The sequence below is a fragment of the Homo sapiens genome, chromosome 5 (assembly GCF_000001405.40).
Source record: "Homo sapiens chromosome 5, GRCh38.p14 Primary Assembly".
Lineage (NCBI taxonomy): Eukaryota > Metazoa > Chordata > Mammalia > Primates > Hominidae > Homo > Homo sapiens.
The window spans coordinates 69,586,170-69,609,485 of NC_000005.10; the positions used below are offsets into that span (position 1 = coordinate 69,586,170).

The 23,316-nt window shown below is 41.2% G+C and overlaps 1 protein-coding gene across 15 annotated transcripts in view; it reads left to right on the plus strand.

Moving 5' to 3' along the window:
- The window catches only part of GTF2H2C (GTF2H2 family member C), a 35,031-nt gene extending 25,979 nt beyond the window's left edge, over window positions 1-9,052 (plus strand). For 12 of the 15 annotated variants that reach the window (NR_164751.1, NR_164749.1, NR_164750.1 and 9 more), the window contains 3 exons: window positions 85-187; window positions 4,159-4,198; window positions 5,910-9,047. Coding sequence is in view for 11 of the 15 variants with exons in the window: in NM_001376006.1 (NP_001362935.1) it covers window positions 85-187; window positions 4,159-4,198; window positions 5,910-6,029 (263 nt within the window). In the remaining 4 variants the exon portion in view is untranslated. Of the gene's footprint in view, window positions 1-84; window positions 188-4,158; window positions 4,199-5,909 lie in introns of all 15 variants that reach the window. The other 3 variants (NM_001376000.2, XM_047417684.1, XM_011543615.2) reach the window with 2 other exon arrangements.
- The last annotated feature ends 14,264 nt before the right edge of the window (window positions 9,053-23,316 follow it).

Consider the following 23,316-nt stretch of genomic DNA (forward strand, 5'->3'; position numbering starts at 1 on the left):
GCTGAAGTTACATCTTTTGGCTTTTCAGCCGTTGTCTTCATGAGGTTTGGACTACTCAACATGTCTCTCTGCTTAATGTGTTAGGTCTTACTTTGGTGTCTGCTCCCCACTTGGCACGGTCTTACCATCATTTGTTTCCTTTGGATGCTTTTCAAGAAATTCCCCTAGAAGAATATAATGGAGAAAGGTATTTCAGTTTGGACTAATTTATATCTGTTATAAGTGGTAAGCTAATGTTTGAATAGATTGTTACTACCTTAAAAAATAATCTGATTAACTTGGACAAGAGTACTTCTAATATGGAAGATGAGATAAAGAATGCCATAGTTATGATTGAAATGACTCGTTGCTAAATAGATCTGAATCTCCAGAAACCAAATAATTTCACTAAACCCACCTATGTATAAATAGGGGTGATGATTGTACTACTAAATCAGTTTTCCAGAAGGAAAAGAAAAAAAGCCCTGATTGGTAGTATTTGCTGATTTCCATGGTTTGAATACTCCCACCATGGCCAATTTTTAGCTACAATTAACAACCAGCTTTCTTGAATACATATTTAACAATATATCCTTTTGATCCAGTACAATCCAGTCCTAGCACACTACTGAAAATAAGAGGCTCATTCAGCACTTTGGGAGGCTGAGGTGGGAGGATCACTTGAGGCCAGGAGTTGAAGACTAGCTGGGGCAACATAGTGAGACACTGTCTCTTAAAAAAGAAAAAAAAAGCTGGACATGGTGGCTCATACCTGTAATCCCAGCACTTTTGGAGGCCAAGGCAGGCAGATCACCTGAGGTCAGGAGTTCAACACCAGCCTGAATGACATGGAGAAACCCCATCTCTACTAAAAATACAAAATTAGCCTAGTATGGTGGTGCATACCTGTAATCCCAGCTACTCGGGAGGCTGAGGCAGGAGAATCGCTTGAACTCGAGAGGCAGAGGTTGCGGTGAGCCAAGATCGCACCACTGCACTCCAGCCTGGGTAACAAGAGCGAAACTTCGTCTCAAAAAAAAAAAAATCTGGCATAACATAATTTATCTAAAATCTTTAAGTATTTTTACGAATGCTATTTGTGTGAAATACAACAAATAAGGTCTGAAATAGAGGTAGTCAATCCTTTAGAGAATAGTTTTCAGAAAATAAAGATTTACTACTTTTAAGAACATCTAGGATCGGCTGGCACGGTGGCTGACGCCTGTAATCCCAGCACTTTGGGAGACCGAGGCAGGTGGGTCACCTGAGGTCAGCAGTTCGAGACCAGCCTGGTCAACATGGTGAAACACCGTCTCTACTAACAATATAAAAATTAGCCGGGTGTGGTGGGAGGTGCCTGTAATCCCCAGCTACTCAGGAGGCTGAGGCAGGAGAATCCCTTGAACCTGGGAGGTGGAGGTTGCAGTGAGCCAAGATCACACCATTGCACTCCAGCTGGGCGACAAGAGCGAAACTCCATCAAAAAAAAAAAGAACATCCAGGATTTAGGAATCACATTAAACACTTACTGGCTAGCCAAAAACAATTATGTATCCATCTTGCTTTTCACACTTAAGTCATTTAGAAGTCATTCAATATCACCATATCTAGATCAATGTTGTTTTTGAAATTGTTGCATATTTCAGGTATAATTATGGTTTATATAATCAATTGCTTCCTGTTGGATATTTAAGATTTTCTTTTTTTGCTATTAACAAATAATGCTTATATCTATATTTTTGAACATTTGTACAAGTATAAATGCATGGTAAATTCCTAGAGGTAAAATTACTGAGTCAAGAGTTTTACATGTTTTGTGAATTTTGATAGATATTGTAAAGTTGTTCTTCAAAGAAGTTTCATTTATTGTTTTCCCACATTTAGCCAACATTAGGTATTATGAAACTTTTTTATATTGGCCAAAACTCACAGGCAAAAGAAAAAGAAAAAAGTCTCATTGTTTTAGCTTGGTATTTATTTGCTTATGGTTGAGGTTAAATGTAGTAAAAATGAAAAACCCAGTACTATAGAAGATAGAGTTGAAGAAATATTCCAGAAAGTACAATAAAAGGAGTAAAATAAAGAGGTTCAAATAGGAGAGTAAAGATAAGAATACTGGTGGAATTATCCAGAAGGTCCAATATGAGAATGATACGAGAAAAAAAGAAAAAAAGTAGGATAGAAAATCATCAAAGACATAGTTCAAAGAAATTTTATATTGAAGGACAGAACTTTCTAGATTGAAAGGGCCTGTTGGCTGGGAAGGGTGGCTCATAGCTCTAATCCTTGCACTTTGGGAGGCTGAGACTGGGGGATAACTGGAGGCCAGGAGTTCCAGGCCAGCCTGGGTCACACAGCAAGACCTCATCTCTGCAACGAAGATAAAAGAAAGGGACTGCCAAGTGCCTAACGTATTGAAGGAAGGCAGACCCCATAATTGTGAAATTTCAGAATACACAATAAACCATTAACCCTAAACATTTCCAGAGAGGAAAAACTAGGTCACACACAAAGGATCTGGAATTAAAATTGTTTGGCTTCTCATTAGCAACACCGGATGCAGAGAGGGAGCAGTCACCTTCAAAGTTTGTGGTGAAAATTGTTACCAACTTAGATACCCAGCCAAACTATCAGTTAAGTGTAGGTAGAATAAAGACATTTTCAGACTTGTAAGGTCTCAAAAAGAGATTTTTCTGGGGAAGGTCTGGAAGAGGTAGGTGATTCAAAGGAACTGAGAAGGAGAATGACATGGGATCTAGTAATATGTATCTAATTCAAAACAGGCTGAAGAACGGCCTAGGATGATGGTAAGGAGAAATTCCAGAATGATACCTGTGTGTCACATATGGGGAACCGTCCAGTTTGGAGACAGTCAGGATGCTCCAGGAGAGAGATCACCAAGGGGATGAAAACTGCAGAACTCCTGATGTATTTGAACATATCGAGAGGACAGTTAGACTATTCCGGAGAAGATTGGGCCTGAATTAGTGTCAATTATATAGGAAACTAACCTTGGGAATAGCAACACAGTATTTCCAGGAAAAAAAAAATGTTTTAAATAGGGGAAAACTTATGGCTTAGCTGAGAATATTTTTATAGGCATAGTAAACTAAACATTGATTATTGTTCTATCCAAAAGGAAGACTTCACTATGTAGAAAGAATTGAGAATGACACTAGTTAAATATTTATGCATTACTGGGTTCAAGATGATTGAAAGATAATTAAATTCTCTTCTTTCATAGTTGGAGATTTATAGCCAATAACTGTGAAGAATCACAAAGTAGCACTTATTAGAATAAGTGACTATCAAACAAACGTTAGAAAGTGCTTCTGGCTGGGCATGGTGGCTCATGCCTGTAATCCTAACACTTTGGGAAGCCAAGATAGGAGGATTGCTTGAGCCCAGGCATTCGAGACCAGCCTGGGCAATATAGCGAGACCCTGCCTCAATAAAAAATTAGCCAGGCATGGAGATACATGCCTGTAGTCCCAGCTACTCAGGAGGCTGAGGCAGGAGGATCACTTGAGCCCAGGAGGTTGAGGCTGCAGTGAGCTGTGATAGCACCTCAGCACTCCAGCCTTTGAGACAAAGCAAGACCCTGACTCGAAAACAAAGAAAAATAAAGCATGCTCACAGTTAACCTTAATGAAAATAAAAACTAAATTTTGGGCTGTCAGATGACCTTGTATATACTGTGGAATTTTTTTTTAAATTATTGCTATTCTTTTTTTTTTTTTTTTTTTTTTTTGTGAGTCAGAGTTTTGCTCCCGTTGCTCAGTGTGGAGTGCAATGACACCATCTCGGCTCACTGCAACCTCCGTGTCCTGGGTTCAAGCGATTCTCCTGCGTCAGCCTCCTGAGTAGCTGGGATTATAGGCGCCTGCCATCACGCCCAGCTAATTTTTGTATTTTTAGTAGAGACGGGGTTTCGCCACGTTGGCCAGGCTGGTCACGAACTCCTGACCTGAGGTGATCCACCCGCCTCGGCCTCCCAAAGTGCTGGGATTATAGGCGTGAGCCACTGTGCCTGGCCTATTGGTATTCTTAACTCTTTTTCCTGAAAGTCATGTGTAAAGACAAGTACATATTAATTAAAGGATTCTAGTTAGTGAGATTTTGTTGAACTATTTTAATGAGTAAATTCTAAGAAAAAACATTGTTAAACTTTTTTTTCAGATTTTGTTATGGATGTCAGGGGGAATTGAAAGACCAACATGTAAGTTCTTTGGCTTTCTAAATATTAAGTAATGTACAAGAAATATTGAAATCAATGGTACTATAAGTTTTCAACAGGTTGTTAAAGACCAGGCTCATATCAGTTTATTTCTTGTAAAGATAATGACAATAGGTGAAGGTAAAATAGGAACAAAATAGTTTAAATAGTAGTTTTGTTATTCTGCATTCTAATTTTTGCTATAAAGTATTTTGTAATTCATCTTTTTAAAACTTTTTATTAAAAATTTTTTAATTTTTTTCCTCTTTTTTTAAATTCTTTGATTGTTTTGTCTACTTTGGTACACCCTTGTAAAACATGTAATTTGTCTTTAGCTTTCAAGCTAAACTGCATTTAGTCTGAAAGTATTTAAAATATTTTCTTCATATTATACTTTAAGCTGTGTGATAACACATTGAAATTGTTTAAGGTGGCCACAGATAATAGGTGATTCTTCCATTATGCCAATGAGAAAATACTTTTTTAAATTTTGAAGAGGGCCAACTTTAATAAATAAATTTGTATAGATGTAAATAATATGGATCACTGTCTAGCTTTAATTTTTAATTTAGTTACATGTTCATATTTAAAACTATATATATTATATAAAATAATAATTAGAAGTATTGCTCTTCCACTGTCACAATTTATAAAGTAATTTTATTAAATTTTATATACCTCTTTGACATCAGTAGTTTACTCTTAACTGGAACCACTTTTTGAATCATTTGACAGTTTTTTGGTTTTATTTTCTGAGACAGACTCTTGCTCTGTCACCCAGGTTGTAGTGCAGTGATGCAATCTTGGCTCACTGCAACCTCTGCCTCCCAAGTTCAAGTGATTCTCATGCCTAGCCTCCCAAGCAGCTGGGATTATAGGCGTGCACCACCATGCCCAGCCAATTTTTGTATTTTTAGTAGAGACTGGGTTTCACCATGTTGACCAGCTGGTCCTGAACTCCTGGGCTCAAGCAATCCACCCGCCTTGGCCTCCCAAAGTGCTGGGATTACAGGCGTGAGTCACTACACCCGGCCTCATTTGAGTTTTTAAGAATAGGTCATTGTCTGTGTTGTTTGAAATTTATTTATTCATTCTTTTTTTTTTTTTTTATTCAAAGCCAAATACTTCTGAGATTTAGTGATTTTTGAATCTGTGTATGAAGCTGCCCTGGAAATTTTATCCCAAGGAGCAAGTACTCATATATGTAATGCTGAAAGAACAAATGTAGTTTTTTCCTTTCTGCTTGTCTTATCTGTGTCATTTGACATATTTTTTTAAAGGTTTACTTGAAAGGGAAATATGTTTGCAATTGTGAGGTCATTCCCTAAGAATAATTAAATCGATGTTAAATTTTTATGCTTCTCTTTTTAATTGAATCAATCAGGTGGTCTTGCTAAGCATTCAAAAGTAGCGCTGGTTTGAAGCTCATATGTCTTTCCTAAACCTTAGAATGAAATAATTGAGAGCGAACTGTAATAGAATAGACTTTAAAGACTCAAAAACAAAACCATTCCCTCATTTCTAAGGGATAGTTTTGGGGAAAAAATTAATTGCCTTAGATTTGAGAATATAGAGTACATTGGAAGTAATAAAGTAGGTAGTGGGAAAAAATTGGTAGAGATATAAAAGAGCAAAGCACACCTTGAATGTCATCTAGCTGTGCTGTAATTAACTTTTGGAAACTAGTTTATCACTTTTCTTCTTTTCACTACAGGTTTATGTTTGTGCTGTGTGCCAAAATGTTTTCTGTGTGGACTGTGATGTTTTTGTTCATGATTCTCTACACTGTTGCCCTGGCTGTATTCATAAGATTCCAGCTCCTTCAGGTGTTTGATTCCAGCATGTAGTATACATTGTATGTGTTAAAAAGAAATTTGCAACTGTGAATAAAAGGACTTCTTTAGAAGAAGCTTCATTTAAAACATGAAAGGATAATCTGACTTAAGAAACTTTTTGCTAAGAAAAGGTAATATTTTATTAAATTTTAAATTTGTGTTGTCACAGAAATACCTGAAATTCAGTAGTACTTCATTCAATTAATTTTGTTTTCTATTATTTTGAGTTATACTGTTTTCAAAGTCATTATGCAGTATGTATAAACTTATAAGAATTAAATTGATGTGATAATTTTATGTTTTTATAATTAAATATAGAATCTTTATGATTTATGTTAATTCATTAATTTAGTGTAAGAAGAAAGTTAAGTCTGAATGTAAATTCAGTGTAAGATGAAAATTTATCAATACTTATGAAATTAGGCTGGGCGCTGTGGCTCACACCTGTAATCCCAACACTTTGGGAGGCTGAGGTGGGCAGATCACTTGAGGTCAGGAGTTCGAGACCAGCCTGGCCAACATGGTGAAACCCCGTCACTACTAAAAATACAAAAAATAATTAGCCGGGCATGGTGGTTCACGCCTGGAGTCCCAGCTACTTGGGAGGCTGAGGCAGGAGAATCGCTTGAACCCAGGAGGCGGAGGTTGCAGTGAGCCGAGATTGTGCCACTGCACTCCACCCTAGAGTAAGACTCCCTCTCAAAAAAAAAAAAAGTTATGAAATTAATACATATGAAATGATGTACTGCTACATCCACCAGAGAGGTCTTTTTAGGTTTAACCAAACATCTGGAATATGTTTATCAAGTTAGTACATCTGAAATTATTTGTGGCTATGACCAACAGAAGTCACTTTACATTAAACATTCAAACTCACAAGACTGCCATGGCCATACTTGGTACCCGCTTACTCAGAAGGATATTAAACAGAAACAACAGCCTGCCAGCACAGCATCAAGCAGTCCTCATTAGCAGTGGAAGTCCTTGTAGCAGTCCACTAGTACAATTTGGGTGCAAGGAGATAAGATCCTCCACAGGCATCAAGGAACCAATATCTCTTAACAATTCCATAAACACAGCTTCCAGGTATCCACAAGGGATGTGTCAATTTCAAGAGTCACTACACTCAGGAAAGCCTAAAGCTTGAAGACTCCATTTATTTATAGTGCATCCCAATCCAGATACGTAACAATTAACGAGTTATTTTTACTATAAGCAAAGTTGCCTAAAATCATAGTTGATACTAACCATGGTTAACAGAGCTCTAAAGTTTGACAGAAAGTGAGATTCAAATCCTTTCACTCTCATATGCTAAACCTTTTGCCTTACTCTGGGTCATCAGAGAAATTTAGGTGAGAATGTATGATGAAGTCTGTGTTTTAGATTCAATGCAGATATATCATTGTGGGCAGAACTCTTTCTGGTTATATCCAGTTAAGAGTAAATCAGGCTTTCAGCCGGGCGCGGTGGCTCACGCCTGTAATCCTAGCACTTTGGGAGGCCGAGGCGGGCAGATCACGAGGTCAGGAGATCGAGACCATCCTGGCTAACACGGTGAAACCCCGTCTCTACTAAACATACAAAAAATTAGCTGGGCCTGGTGGCGGGCGCCTGTAGTCCCAGCTATTCGGAAGGCTGGGGCAGGAGAATGGTGTGAACCCAGGAGGCGGAGCTTGCAGTGAACCGAGATCGCTCCACTGCACTCCAGCCTGGGCGACAGAGCTAGACTCTGTCTCAAGAAAAAAAAAAAAAAAAAAAAAAAAAAGAGTAAATCAGGCTTTCATAGCAAAGGTATGTCTATTTTATGTATATAAACTTCAGGTACTCTAACTTGAGTTTCACTATGAAATTTGTGATTTTTTTTTTTTTTTTTTTGAGATGGAGTCTTGCTCCATCGCCCAGGCTGGAGTGCAGTGGCCTGCTGTTGGCTCACTGCAACCTCCGCCTCCCAGGCTCAAGCCATTCTCCTGTCTCAGCCTCCTGAGTAGCTGGGACTACAGGCGCCTGCCACCACGCCTGGCTAATTTTTGCATTTTTGGTAGAGACGGGGTTTCACCTTGTTGATCAGGCTGATCTCCAACTCCTGACCTCAGGTCATCCACCCACCTCCGCCACCGTGCCCGGCCGAAATTTGTGATTTTATAACTAAGAATTTTTAGTTAAGAACATTATCAGTAAAGACAACGTAATCCCACCCTGGAGAGTTTATTGGGAGCCCAGGAATATTCATTTTTAATACACACACACACACACACACACACACACACACACACACACACTGATCAGAGTAACGGGAGTTTCTCTCAGGAGTCATACTCCATGAGCCTGGACCCAGTGGTTCTTTATGTGGAAACAAATTTCACCTATAGGTAACCTGGTAACTGCTATTTTCTTCTGTGTGCTCTGTCAACAAAGGTATCAGTGGCTTGCAGGAGATGCCTTTAATACTCAGAGCATTCTATCTCCCCCTATCTGGTTTAGAAGGAAGGCCTTCATTAGTTACCTTTTGAGAAGTTACTAGAACTCTCTATTAGAGACTTACCCTCCTGACCTGATAAAAAGGGATACCCATGTCTCTATTAACAGCTTTATCTCTTTCTACAGTTTTGGGTATTTGATAAGGTTAAGGCAAAATTTTAGTTATGCTTAAGGAGGAGTTCTTTTTTCACAATTACAGAGAAAATTTTGGTTTGTTGAAGATTGCAGAAACAGCAATGGTAATGTAAGACAGTTTTGGCCTTTAATTTTTTTCTTGAAACTCTACAGTATACTACAATAGTGAAGGAAACTATTATCATGAGAGATCCTTCTGAATAGGATGTCTTTCTGAGTTCCACTATTCAGTTACAAAACTCCTTAATGCTTAAAATTCATTATGAAAATTAGATTTATTTTAAATACTTTCAAGTGTATACATTTTTATTTCATAATTTTTATTGTCTTTTAACTAAAGCATTTAGTTCATTTATATTTACTGTGTACCTTTTATATTTAATAAATATATTTACTTATTAAAAGATTACCACTGATATATTTTATTATAAATATTATATTTATAAATATATTATTTATATTTATATTTATATATTTATATATATTTATATATAATATATATTTTAATATATTATATATTAAAATATATAAATATATATAATAAATATAAATATTTATTAAAAGATTACCACTGATATATTTGGGTTTAAGTCTATTATCTTTGTGTTATTGGTTCCAACAATTCCATCTTTCGTTTTTTTAAATTTTTTTAACTACATATTTGATACGATCTTTTCCTTCTTGCCTTCTTTTTGATTACTTACTTTCTACCATTCTATGTTTTTCGTCACTAGTTTGAAAATTGTATACTTTGTTTTTATTCTTTCAGTGGTTACCCTAGAAATTACAACAAACAAAAATTGCAACAACAATAAATTACAACAAGAAGAATTTTTTTTTTTTTTTTTGAGACAGAGTCTCGCTCTGTCGCCCAGGCTGGAGTGCAGTGGCGCGATCTCAGCTCACTGCAAGCTCCACCTCCCGGGTTCATGCCATTCTCCTGCCTCAGCCTCCCGAGTAGCTGGGACTGCAGGTGCCTGCCACCACGCCTGGCTAATTTTTTGTATTTTTACTGGAGACGGGGTTTCACTGTGTTAGCCAGGATGGTCTCGATCTCCTGACCTCATGATCCATCTGCCTTGGCCTCCCAAAGTGCTGGGATTACAGGCGTGAGCCACCACGCCTGGTCAACAACAAGAATTTCTTAACTTAGGTCCCCTAGGAAGTAGAACCTGAGGCAAAGATGAAAGTATTGTTACTTTATTAGGGAGGGACAGATCTAGGGGGGTGAGAGTGTGGAAGAAAAGGGAAAGCAAAGCAAGGAAAAACGTGATGCATTGTGTTACTGCAGTGACCAGGCTTCATGACAAGCTGTGACGAGATACAGGAGCCTTCCAGCAAGTGTGTTCACTTAGAGTGTGGGGCTTCTCCAGAAGGTTTATAAGGAGAAACTGCCCCTCTGAGCAGTCCATTGAAGGGAGGAAGGAGAAGTAACTTAGTTTCCTAAGTTCTTCCATTTCCCGTTGATCCTAGTTTGCCCACAGGGCTGTGTCATCTCGTCCTTTGGTAACTGCTCAGGAAGCCAGATCTCGTGCTCAGTGGTGTGGCATTGCATCTACTTCTAGAAGGATTTCTCAATACTTTATAACTTCCTCATGTTTCTGGTCATGTCTGTGTTCAGCTATATCTCTAGAACGGTTGGCCAATTCATAGCATGAAATGATTTCATGAGTGGTGACAAAGAAAGGGTGCAATCAGCCCTTGGGGAGTGGGTTAGTGGAATCCCAGTCCTGAGGCCATTAGTGGGTGGCAGAGTTTAGGAGAAAAGGTAAGAAGTTTCAGTCCTTGGGCCCTGTAGTAAGGAGAAAAAGGGTACAGGAGGTTGTCACACTTCTGAGAAGTAGTCTTAGAGTGCCCTAGTGCCTGCTTTGGATCCAGTTCTGTAAGGGCAGAGGATTCATTATTTCCAGGTAATTTAAGTATGTTCTGGGGAGAAGTGTTACAAGATGGACTGGGGACTCGGCTGGGATCCTGATGGGATCTAAATTATTGATTTCACCTGACTGAATTGCTATTTGCGTCACACCTCAGGACCCTGGAAACAATACACAATTTGCCCATTCATTAATTTATTAATTCACTCAACAAACTTGTACATCTGCCATAAGTCTGACACCATCCTAGTTATCAGGGATGTAGATAGTCAAAAGAAGATGTAAACCTAACCTCATGCATCTGTGAATCTCCCCATCTAAAAAGACACAGCCTTGTAAAGAAGCTTGTGTGAAAGTGCTAACGACAGACATGCCAAGTGTTAAGGGGATGCAGGAGAGGCGTGGTAAAATGGGTTGGGAGGCAGCTCAGATGTCTAAAGGGGTCAGGCAGACAATGCAGATAAGTGAAAGAGGGCCAGTTGATGCAGAGTGGGGACATCTGGAAAGCACCCGCCCCATCTAAAGGAGGCAGCCTCTGAGAGTCTGGGGATCAGGGATAGAAGGGAGATGTACTTTTCACTGTACATCCTTTTGTATTTTTTAAATTTTGTTACTTAATTCAAAAAAATGTAAAAATAAAGTGAGGTAACCATTATTTGGCCCCAGCCTATTTTTTTCTTCTGGGAATGATACTTAAAGAGAAACTAAATCTGGATTTTTTTTTTTTTTTTTTTTTTTTTTTTTGAGACAAAGCCTTGCTCTGTTCCCCAGGCTGGAGTGCATTGGTGCAATCATGGCTCACTGCAGTCTCGACCTTCCAGACTCAAGTGATGGTCCCACTTCAGACTCCCTAGTAGCTGGGACCACAGGTGTGTGCCATTGTGCCTGGCTAATTTTTAAAAAGTTTTTTTTTGTAGAGACAGTGTCTTCCTATGTTGCCTAGGCTGGTCTTGAACTCCTGAGCTTAAGTAATCTGCACACCTCAGTCTTCCAAAGTATTGGAATCACAAGCGTGAGCCACCATGCCCAGCCGTAAAAACTGGATTTTTAAAGTGAATTCTCCCAAGTTTGAGATGTTAGCCTCTAATTTAGAAAAACACAGAGGCTAAATAAAACTTATCTTCAGTCCACCAGTTGACAAACTTTGGCCTGGCCTGTCTCTTTTCTATCGTTTATCATCAGGGCAGATAATCTTTTAAGTTTCAGGTGTTACACTTTCCTGGGATATACTCCTCTTAGGGGATAATTTATTTACTTTTTGTTTTTGTTTTTGTGACAGAGTCTTGCTCTGTCAACCAGGCTAGAGTGCAGTGGCATGATCTTGGATCACTGCAACATCTGCCTCCCGGGTTCAAGTGATTCTCCTGCCTCAGCCTCCCGAGTAGCTGGGACTACAGTCATGTGCCACCATGCCTGGCTGATTTTTGTATTTTTAGTAGTGACGTGGTTTCACACCATGTTGACCAGGCTGGTCTCGGAACTCCTGACCTCAAGTGATCCACCCACCTTGGCCTTCCAAAGTGCTGGGATTACAGGTGTGAGCCACCGTGGCCAGCCTTAGGGGATAATTTAGGTTTTTTGTGTTTCTGTTTTAAATTTAAATTTTTATTTTTTTGAGGCAGTATCACTCTGTCTCTCAGGCTGGAGTGCAATGGCACAATCAACTCACTGCAGCCTTGAATTCCTGGGCACAAGTGATCCTCCCAATTCAGCTTCTCAAGTAGCTAGGACTACAGGTGTGCACCACCATGCCTGGCTGAATTTTTTTTTTAAGAGATGGACTCTTGCTGTGCTGTCCAGGCTCGTGTCAACTCCTGGCCTCAAATGATCCTCTCTCCTAGGCCTTCCAAAGTGCTGGGATTACAGACGTTAGCCACTGTACCCAGCCTAGTTCAAGTTTTAAGCATTAAGAATTGACTCTTTGGAGGAATAGGGATCTTTTAAGGATCTCTACAGTCAGTGACTCTAAATGTAGTGTTTGGACCAGTAAGTAGCATTAGCATCACCCAAGAAGTCATTAGAAATGCAAATTCTTGGCCAGGCGCGGTGCCTCATGCCTGTAATCCCAGCACTTTGGGAGGCTGAGGTGGGTAGATCACGAGGTCAGGAGTTCGAGACCAGCTTGACCAACATGGTGAAACCCTGTCTCTACTAAAAATACAAAAATTAGCCGGCCGTGGTGAAGGGCATCTGTAATCCCAGCTACTCAGGAGGATGAGGCAGGAGAATCACTTGAATCCAGGAGGCGGAGGTTGCTGTGAGCCAAGATCGCACCACTGCACTGCAGCCTGGGCAACAGAATGAGACTCCATCTCAAAAAAAAAAAAAAAAAGCAAATTCTTGAGCCCCATCACAGGCCTGTTGAATCAGAAACTCTGAGGATGGGTCTAGCAGTCCGCTTTAACAAATCCTCCAGGTGGTTACCATAAATGTTGAAGTGTGAGAGCTACTGCCTGTAATCCCATTTAGAGAGGTACATAGGTAACTTAAAAACAGGTCCTGATAAAAGAATTCTACTAAACTTAAAAAACAAATTCAGGTAACTTTATAAACAAACAAATCTCGGCCGGGCGCGGTGGCTCACGCCTGTAATCCCAGCACTTTGGGAGGCCGAGGCGGGCGGATCACGAGGTCAGGAGATCGAGACCATCCTGGCTAACACGGTGAAACCCCGTCTCTACTAAAAATACAAAAAATTAGCCGGGTGTGGTGGCGGGCGCCTGTAGTCCCAGCTACTCGGGAGGCTGAGGCAGGAGAATGGCGTGAACCCGGGAGGCAGAAATTGCAGTGAGCCGAGATCACGCCACTGCACTCCAGCCTGGGTGACAGAGCAAGACTCCGTCTGAAAACAAACAAACAAAAAAAACAAATCTCAAACATGGAATTATTTTTTCACTTCTCTCTTTTGTTTTTTTTTTTTTTTTTTTTGAGACAGAGTCTCGCTCTGTCACCCAGGCTGGAGTGCAGTGGCGCGATCTCGGCTCACACTGCAATTTCTGCCTCCCGGGTTCACACCATTCTCCTGCCTCAGCCTCCCGAGTAGCTGGGACTACAGGCGCCCGCCACCACGCCCGGCTAATTGTTTTTTTGTATTTTTAGTAGAGACGGGGTTTCACCGTGTTAGCCAGGATGGTCTCGATCTCCTGACCTCGTGATCCGCCCGCCTCGGCCTCCCAAAGTGCTGGGATTACAGGCGTGAGCCACTGCGCCCGACCTTTTTCACTTCTCTTAATGCTCTGTAAACATTAATGTATTTATATATGTACTTAGAATTTTAAAAAATCAATTTTATTGAGTTATAATTAACATACAGTAAAAATGCTCCCATCTTGAGTAATTCCATGCCTTTTGACAAGTGTTCTGTACCCATGCCACGACCACCACAATCGAGAGAGAACATCTTCATCACTCCAGAAGGGCTCCTTTGCAGTGAGTACTCCCTAGGAGTTCCAGCGGCCGGTGACATTGATCTGTTTTCTGTCACTGTAGATGAGATTTGTCTGTTATATACAATTTTTAAAAATTAAATGATATGTATGGCTTCTTTTGCTTAGCATAATGTTTTTGAGCTTATTCATTTGTTGCATATATCAATACTTTGCTTCTTTTTACCACCTGTACTTCATTTATGGATACGTTGTTTATCCATGTGTTTATCCCCAATGGACATTGGGTTGTTTCTGATTTTTTGGTTATTATTATGAATAAAGTTGCTATGAACATTATTGTATAAATCTTTGTGTGTTCATGTGTTTTCATTTTTCTTGGGTAAATATGTAGGAATGGAATTGCTAGATTGTATGGCAAGAGTATACTTAGCTTTCCATGACACCAGTGAACTGTTTTTCCAAAGACATTGTATTAATACCATTTTACATTCCCACAACTAATGTATGAGCTTCCAGTTGCTCCATATCCTCAACTAACAGTTGATATTGTACAATACAAATGTTAACTTTTAGAATATCTTCACAACTTTAGAGTAGATAGTGATTTCTTAGGACACAAAAACTATCAATCATAACAAAAATTAAAATTGGACTTCATCAAAATTAAAAACTTCTTTTTGAAAGACACCATTAAGAAAATGAAAAGATGGTTAACAGACTGAGAGAATATATGTGCAATGTAAATATCTAACAAAGGACTAGTATGCAAAATATATAAAGAATCCTTATAATTTAGTAATAAAAAGGAAAACACGCACTTTTTAAATGGGTCAAGAATTTAATTACGGCCAGGTGCAGTGGCTCACACCTGTAATCTCAGCACTTTGGGAGGCCGAGGTGGGTGGATCACGAGGTCAGGGGTTCGAGACCAGCCTGGCTAACATGGTGAAACCCTGTCTCTACTAAAAATACAAAAATTAGCTGGGCATGGTGGTGGGCGCCTGTAATCCCAGCTACTCGGGAGGCTGAGGCAGGGGAATCGCTTGAACCCAGGAGGCGGAGGTTGCAGTGAGCTGAGATTGTGCCACTGCACTCCAGCCTGGGCGACAGAGCGAGACTCTGTCTTTTAAAAAAAAAGAAAAAAATTTAATTACCTTACCAAAGAAGATACATGAATGACCAATAAGCCATTAAATTAAAACTTCAGTGAGTATACACATATGCCCTGAAGTAGCTAAACTTTAAAACACTGCCCTATGTGTGTGTACTTTTTAGCTAAAAAAGTGTTTGAAAACAGTATTATTTTGAAACTCAAAATTCCAAATCCTCTCTTCAAATTAGGTAGTAGTGTCACTGGAAGTAAAAGAGAAGTTACTTTAACTGCTAAAGAGTATCCACTAAGAATCTACAACAAACATCATGTTTAATGCTCAAACTTTAGAAGAATTTATACCAAAAGTCAAGAATAAGATAGGATATCTATCTTCATTATTAAGCAACATTATATTAGAGGCCCTAATCAATGCAACAAGGCAATAAATAAAAGACAAAACTGTCATAATCAGATACTACAAACATCTAAGAAAATTCAGGGGGATTTACAGTCATATATTAAACAGTCCAGAAGGAGTCCTATACATCATCAATGAATATTGAGAATAAAAAATAGTTTTTAAAACCCCTCCAATTTATAAGGGCAACAAAATGTACAAGGTACTAAAATAAATGTAATGTGTATTTGGGTATAAATACAGCAACATAATGAAAAGGTTTATTGGGGAAAAAATTACAGGGAGAAGGGTCAACAACGTGAAGAGGTTCCCCTGCCATCTGGACTTCTGGAAAAAGACCTGCTGGTCTAGGCACAGCTGGATGCACCATGGAAAGTGGTTCCAATAAACACTGGCACTGTAACAATTGTGTATGTTGATACAAAAAGAGGGAGCCAATGAATACTTGGTCGATTATTTAACAATTGCTTCTCTGCTGAAGAAATGGCCTTGTTGGACTAGAGCTTAACTGTGGTTCACATACTAATGCTGCTATAACAGCTAGAAGCCTTACTAAGAAATTTACTAAACCACCAAAAAGAGGAAATGAACCTTCTAGGACATCTGGATTGCCTTTTCTTAAAAATCTAGTCTTGGCTGGGTGCTGTGGTTCACGCCTGTAATCCCAGCATTTGGTGAGGCCGAAGTGGGCGGATCACGAGGTCAAGAGATCGAGACCATCCTGGTCAACATGGTGAAACCCTGTCTCTACTGAAAATACAAAAATTAGCTGGGCGAGGTGGCATGTGCCTGTAGTCCCAGCTGCTGGGGAGGCTGAGGAAGGAGAATCACTTGAACCCGGGAGGCGGGGTTTGCAGTGAGCTGAGATCACGCCATTGCACTCCAGCCTGGCAACAGAGCAAGACTCAGTCTAAAAAAAAAAAAAAAAATCTAGTCTGTATGGCAGCACAACATCAGGTAAAAGTACAGACTAGCCAGATCACTGGTTAACCTTAACCCCTATGTGCTTGAGTTTCCTTATCTGTAATATGGAGATGATATAGCAATAGCTGATTTTGGACTGTTAAAGGAATTAAGTGGACACATGTAAAGTGCTTAGAATTGTGCCTGGCAAGTAGTAGGCTGCAATATTGTGATATAATAAATATATATATTTGATCTTCATCCAGTTCCTGGCACAGATCTCCAGAAACCCTTGTAATTTCCTGAGTGACAGGGGTGATAGAAACATCTTTTATTAGAATACTTGGTCTTGGTTCCTGACACAAGAGCTTCTAAGACCTTTGGAATCTCCAAGTGATAAGAGTGTATGACAGTGAGCTAACTGGTGGCTGGGATCCTTTAGACAACTTCAGGATGGGGGCTATCCCGTGAAAGACTAAGGCATGATTAGAGGTCTGGGATTTGCAGCCCCACGCCTCGACCTCCAGAGAGGGTAAAAGGGCTGGCGATTGATTAACCACCAGTTGCCAGTGATTTAGCCAATCATGCCTAAGTGATGGCACCTCCATTAAAAAATAAACCACAGGTTTGGAGAGCTTTCGGTTTGGTTAACCCCAACCACATACCAAGAAGGCGATGCACCTCAAACTGCATGAAGACAAAAGGTCCTGTGCTCACCTGGGACCCTTCTGGACGTTGCCCTGTGTACCTCTTCGACTGCCTGTTCATCTGTATCCTTTATAATAAAGCAGTAAACATAAGTAAAGTTTCTGAGTTCTGTGAGCCATTATAAGAAACGATCGAACCTGGGATTTTCCTTTCGGAAGCCGCTCTCTCTCACAAGGGAGAGAGCTGTTCTCCTTTTTCTTTTGCGTGTTAAACCTCCGCTCCTAAACCCACTCTTCGTGTGTATCGTGTCCTTAACCTTGTTGGTGCGAGACGACGAACCCCGGGTATTGACCCCAGACAACAATGCCACTTCATATTGGGGACTTCGTCTGGGATTCCAAGGTGCATTCATTGCAAAGGTGAGTAAAGGGGCGGACCTCAACTCTGTCCTTTGATTTCGAGGCTCTTGGCCTCCATTTTAGAATCAAACCAAACCAAATACTGGGCCCCCTTCTGCTTCTGTGAATGAGAAAACTCTGCCTTCACCAATTAGCCATTTAAAAATTATGAGCGTGGCTGCCAGCCTTACAAGTTTTGGGGGACAGGCTTGCTGGGGAGAACATGGAGAACCCCCCAATACCCACGGGCTGCTGGGCATATTGGCCATGTTTGAACCAGTTTCCTTTCACGGAGGACCAAGCTGTCGTGTGGGGCTGGAAGAGGTCCTGGAGCAACTGAGGATTTCTGGCTGGGGCTACCTCCTGGTGCCATCCGAAGGCTTCTGGACTGACCCCAGCCTCCGGCCACCCTAAGGGGTGTCGGCAACAGGACCTCCAACTTTCCTATCATAATTCCCTCATTTCCTATCCACGACCACCATGTCTCCTAACCTCTCTCTGTATGCAGTACTGAGGGAGTTTTACAGTTCAGGGAAGTAATCTTGTTAGGCAAGAACAAAGACTGCTGTAGTAACCAGGGATATAGCACAGGGGCATGCTGTTGTGATTTTCTAGGAACAGAGGGTCTCCTCTCCCACCACAGTGAGCGTCACTCTCTGCCCTTGCTCTGGAAAGCACATGGCATGTCAAGGTCACTCTGCCCTTTGTCATAGTAAGATTAGGGTGGGGCGCCCAACCTTCCCCGCGTGCTATGTAAACGTCACACCTGTTCAAACCAACCTGTGGGCTCTGCGCAAATCAGACGCCGCCTCCTCAGGCCTACCTATAAAATCTGGTGCAGTCCACCGCAGGCCGGATTTTCCTTTCGGAAGCCCCTCACAAGGGAGAGATCTGTTCTCGTTTTTCTTTCTTTTGCCTATTAAACCTCTGCTCCTAAACTCCCCCAACCCCCAAGAAAGAAATTATCGAACCTGAGGGGGTTGCAGATACCCATGATTTGTAGTGAACTCAGACAGAAGTGTGGGTACCCTGAGGTCCTAATAGTTGTGGCTGGCATCTGAAGTAGGGGGCAGTCTTGGGGGCTGAGCCCCTAACCCGTGGGGTCTGCACTAACTCTGGTTAATTAGCATCAGAATTGAGTAAAATTGTAAGACACTCAGCTGCTGTCTGTGGAGAATTGGAGAATTGGTTGGTGGAAAACCCATATATTTGATGTCAGAAATGTGAGTAGAGAAATGGTTTTTCCTTGATAGGCTCTATGTAAATTTTAGTTCATGTTTTTGGTAATAAATACACAATATTACTGATTCTTAAAAGTATAAACCCAGGAAAATTAAGAAAACAAGAATGTCAAGTCCAACAGAGTTTAAAGGTAAAAAAAAATAAAATAGAACAGAAATGGGACCAGTAGCACATAGAATATTTTAACACATTCTTGGAAAGTAGAAACTATATGGACTAGTAGTCAGGAAGGAAGCAGCTCAAGGAAACCGCTTCCTGAATATGGAGTCTCCTATGAGAGACTATCTGCCCTATGGAGAAGCTTGGAGTAACTGCGGACACAGGATGCCAGATAGGAAGGAGGGCTGGAGTGACATGAAGGGCTGAAAATTGAGGGACTAATTGGAAGCCCGTGCACGGGACAGTCAGCTCTCTCTACCCCATGATCAGAATATTTGACACACAAGTGTTTACCCTGGGGCAAAAAATTACAGGAGTCTTCCCTGCTTCCCCCAAAATTGAACACATTGCTTTCTCTTAGCTGACCTAGAGAACCAGTGTGGGCACTGGCACCCCAAAACTAAGAATCCTTTTAAGAAATGGTGATTTTATGTCCAAGGAACGTTCCAAGTAAGTTTTCGGCTGCTAGCTTTGTCTTTACAAGTAACGGGCCAGGCCCAGTGGCTCATGACTGTAATCCCAGCATTTTGGGGGACTGAGGTGGGCAAATGGCTTGAGGTCAAGAGTTCAAGACCAGCTTGGGCAACATGGCGAAACCCTGTCTCTACTAGAAATACAAAAATTAGCCAGGTGTGGTGGTGCATGCCTGTAGTCCCAGCTATTGTGGGGCTGAGATGAGAGGATCACTTGAGCCTGGGAGGTAGAGGCTGCAGTGAACCGAGATTGTGCCACTGCACTCCAGTCTGGGTGACAAAGTGAGACCCCATCTCCAAAAACAAAACAAAACAAAAAAAACCCCAAGTAACTTGAAATCATTTTCTGAAATCTTTCTCTGACATTCTGACATTAGGGTAATTCTTGTTCTCCATAGAGTGAAAGGCTCAGGTTCAAGTCCCACTCCTGTGGCTCCTGATTTTTTAATGATTAGTTTGACCAATGTGTTTTTAAATGACTTAATTTTTAAACATGAGTTGAAAACCCAGGATCACTACACATTTGAGGAAAGTTGATAATATGAAAAGTAAACACCAAGGTAAGTGGTAAAAACCTTTGAGGAAACATAATTCAGGAAACAGGAACTTAAACATTAGTATCGTACAGCAGATTCAGGAAGATGGCACTGGTTAAAAAAATTGACACTATGAAAATAAGGCACAGAGAAAAGAAAGAGCTGTGGGAAATTATAATTGCTGAAATTTTAAACTAGATTGGAGAGCCGGAATATAAAGGAGAGGACAGCTGGGTGCGGTGGCTCACACCTGTCATCCCAGCATTTTGGGAGGCTGAGGCCGGCAGATCACTTGAGCCCGGGAGTTTGAGACCAGCCTGGGCAACAAGGTGAGACCCCCATCTCTACACAAAATAAAATATAAAATCAGCTGTGCATGGTAGCACACGTCTGTAGTCCCAAAACTTGGGAGGCTAGGTGGGAGGATCACTTGAGTCCAGGAGGTGGTGGCTGCAGTGAGCTGTGATTGTGCCATTGCACTCCAGCCTGGATGACAGAGCGAGACCCTTAGAAAGTAGGAAAAGAATATATGAAAAAAAAATAAGTGATCAATTAATTACTCACCTGAATAGTGGGAATACCAAAAGAGTAAAAAGAGAGTAACAGACAGTAGGAAGTTATCAAATAAATAATAGAAGGTAATTTCCCAGGCTTGATGGGAGACCCAAGAGCTCAGATTGAAAATGCCCATTGAATACCCAGCCCAATGAATGTAGAGAGGTCTACACTTAGGAGAAAAGATCCTAAAAGCTACCAGAAAGATAGAAACTGTTACTATAACAGAAATAAGACACTAGCACCTTAACTATTAACCAATCTTAACAAACTAGAATAAAGGCCGGATGTGGTGGTTCATGCCTATAATCCTAGCACTTTGGGAGGTCGAGATGGGAGGATCGCTTCAGCCTGGAAGCTTGAGGCTGCAGTGAGCTAGGATCGTGCCACTGTACTCCAGCCTGGGCGACAGAGTGAGACACTGTCTCAAAAACAACAGAAACAAAAAAACTAGAATAAAATACTTCTGGTGTGAGACTCTGTAGGTTTCATTACTCCTTTTGGGTCCTGATTAAATCCTGTTGACTCAAGACCTTAGAGCATTTACTGGTAAAGTCTCTGACTGCGCGATTTTTTTTTGCATTTTAGTTCCTTAAATATTTTCTCACTGCTTCCTACTAAAGGACGGACAGAGCATTTGTTCTTCAGCCACATACTTTCCTTCCACTGGCCAGCATTCTCCTCTATTAGACTAGAACTGTGGATAAACCTCAGGTAAGTAAATTACTATCCCTGGCAAAGGTGCTTTTCTTCCACACCTAAACCTATGGTCCCTTCTTTGTCTTGCTATTGTTTCTCTCTTTGGAGGCAGGATGGTATGGAGGAAAGAGGACAGACACTGGAGTCACACAGACTTGGGTTTAAATCCTAGCTCCATGGCACAGTTGCCTCAATGGCACTCTTAGCACTGTAGTCAAAGAATATTAGACCTGGAAAGGGCCTTGGAAATTACTTCTCCTCCCCCAGAAACAGCCTCTAGACTGGCATGATTGACCACCAAACTTCGTTGTGTCAGACAGGATCAATGTCTGCTGGTCTGCTGCAACTCTGTACTCATTTATCTCTGGGGAGGCCTGAAGCCTTGGTGCTGTTCCTTGGCCAAACCTAAATGAAATGTACTAGCCAGTGATTAATAGAGTCCTGTGCTGGGGTGGGAGACAGACCAGGGAGCAGCCTGTTTCTTGCTTCTTTCTTTCTTTTTGGAGATGAAATCTCATTGGCTTTGAACTTCTGGGCTCAAGTGATCCTCCCACTTCAGCCTCCCAAGTAGCTGGGATTACAGGTGCATGCCACTGCCCCAGCTTGACTATACCAGCTTGTTTCTGGTTTTGAGCCCTGGTATGCAAGCTAGTGTTGGCTACCTGATCAGAGGAGTATAAAAGAGCCTCAGATGAGGTTACAGTTCTCTTGAGACCAAGGTGTCTTGCATGTATCATCTAGCTGGTTCATTGCTTAAAGATGAAGCACATCTTCCACATCCTCTGTGGCTGCAAAAGGACCCTAGGAACTGGGTGTGGTGTTTCACTTGCCTTTTGGTTTGTTGGGTTTTTTTTTTTTTTGTATCTATCCTTTACCTTTATTAAAGCCTTATGTGAGGATACTATGCGGAGTCTTCTAAGTCTTTTCAATGATCCAAACCTGTGTAATTGATGAAGAGGGTACTGTGAATAGGATCATTACTTTTTTTTTGTTTTTGAGACAGGGTCTCTCTCACTCTGTCACCCAAGTTGAGTGCAGTATCTTGATCACAGCTCACTATAGCCTCAACCTCCTGGGCTCAAGAGATCCTCCCACCTCAGCCTCCCGAGTAGCTGGGTCTATAGGCGCACACCATCACGGCTGCCTAACTTTTAAAAAAATTATTTTGTAGAGCTGGAGTCTTACCATGTTGCCCAGGCTGGTCTCGAACTCCTGGGCTCAAGTGATTTGCCTGCCTTGGCCTCCCAAAGTGGTGGGATTACAGGTGTGAGCAACTGCGCCTGGCCCCAGGTTTTTTTTTTTCTTTTTTTTTTTCGAGACAGGGTCTCACACTGTTGCCCAGGCTGTAGTGCAGTGGCACTGAAGCCTGAAACCTCTGCCTCCTGGGTTCAAACAGTTCTTGTGCCTCAGCCACCCGAGTAGCTGGGATTACAGGCATGCACCACCACGCCCGGCTAATTTGTTTGTATTTTTAGTAGAGATGGGGTTTCGCCATGTTGGCCAGGCTGGTCTTGAACTCCTGAACTCAAGTGATCCGCCCGTCCCAGCCTCCCGAAGTTCTGGGATTACAGGTGTGAGCCACTGCGCCTGGCCCCCCAGTTTTTTACTTTATAATTTAAATGATAGCTAAGGCTTTGTTTGGGAGAAAGATGAAAAGTGGGGAAAGATTTAGAGCCACTGGTGCCAGGCTAGTTGCTGGGGAATCCCTGTTTGAATTTGCTGAAGTGCTACAACTCTCAATGGGAAGAAAGGGATGACAATGGAACTTGAAGGTGGTTGATGCAGAGCAAGAGGAAATCGCTAAATAGATTTAAAAAGAAATCCAGACACAGAGGAAGTCAGCCAAGAATACAGTTCCCTGGCTGGTTAGGCTGCTTTGGCAAAAATGAAAGTAACTAAAAAAGAGCCTGTGTTGCCAAGTCCACCAATTTCCTTCTGTAAAGGGAAGGAACATGATGCCAAAGAGGAGTTGGGCAGATATTTCTTCTGATGGGAATGTGACCCTCATCGGGTAGATAATCACCAACGAAACTACAGTGGGAGGGCATCAAGAGACAACTGAAACAGGGAACTACACAAGAGTGAAGTTGCCTGTGGACTGACAGAGCTTCCTGCAGAACCACTGCTGGGTTGGATATACATGAATGACAAAGGAGCTCTTTTCCTTGTATTAGGTACTGTCAAATGTACCTTCAAATGAAAGGGTGTGTTTGGTCTTAATTAGCTGAATTCGTTGAAGATCTTCAATTAGCTGCAGCTTTTGCCGGAATGTGGTTAGCTGGGCAA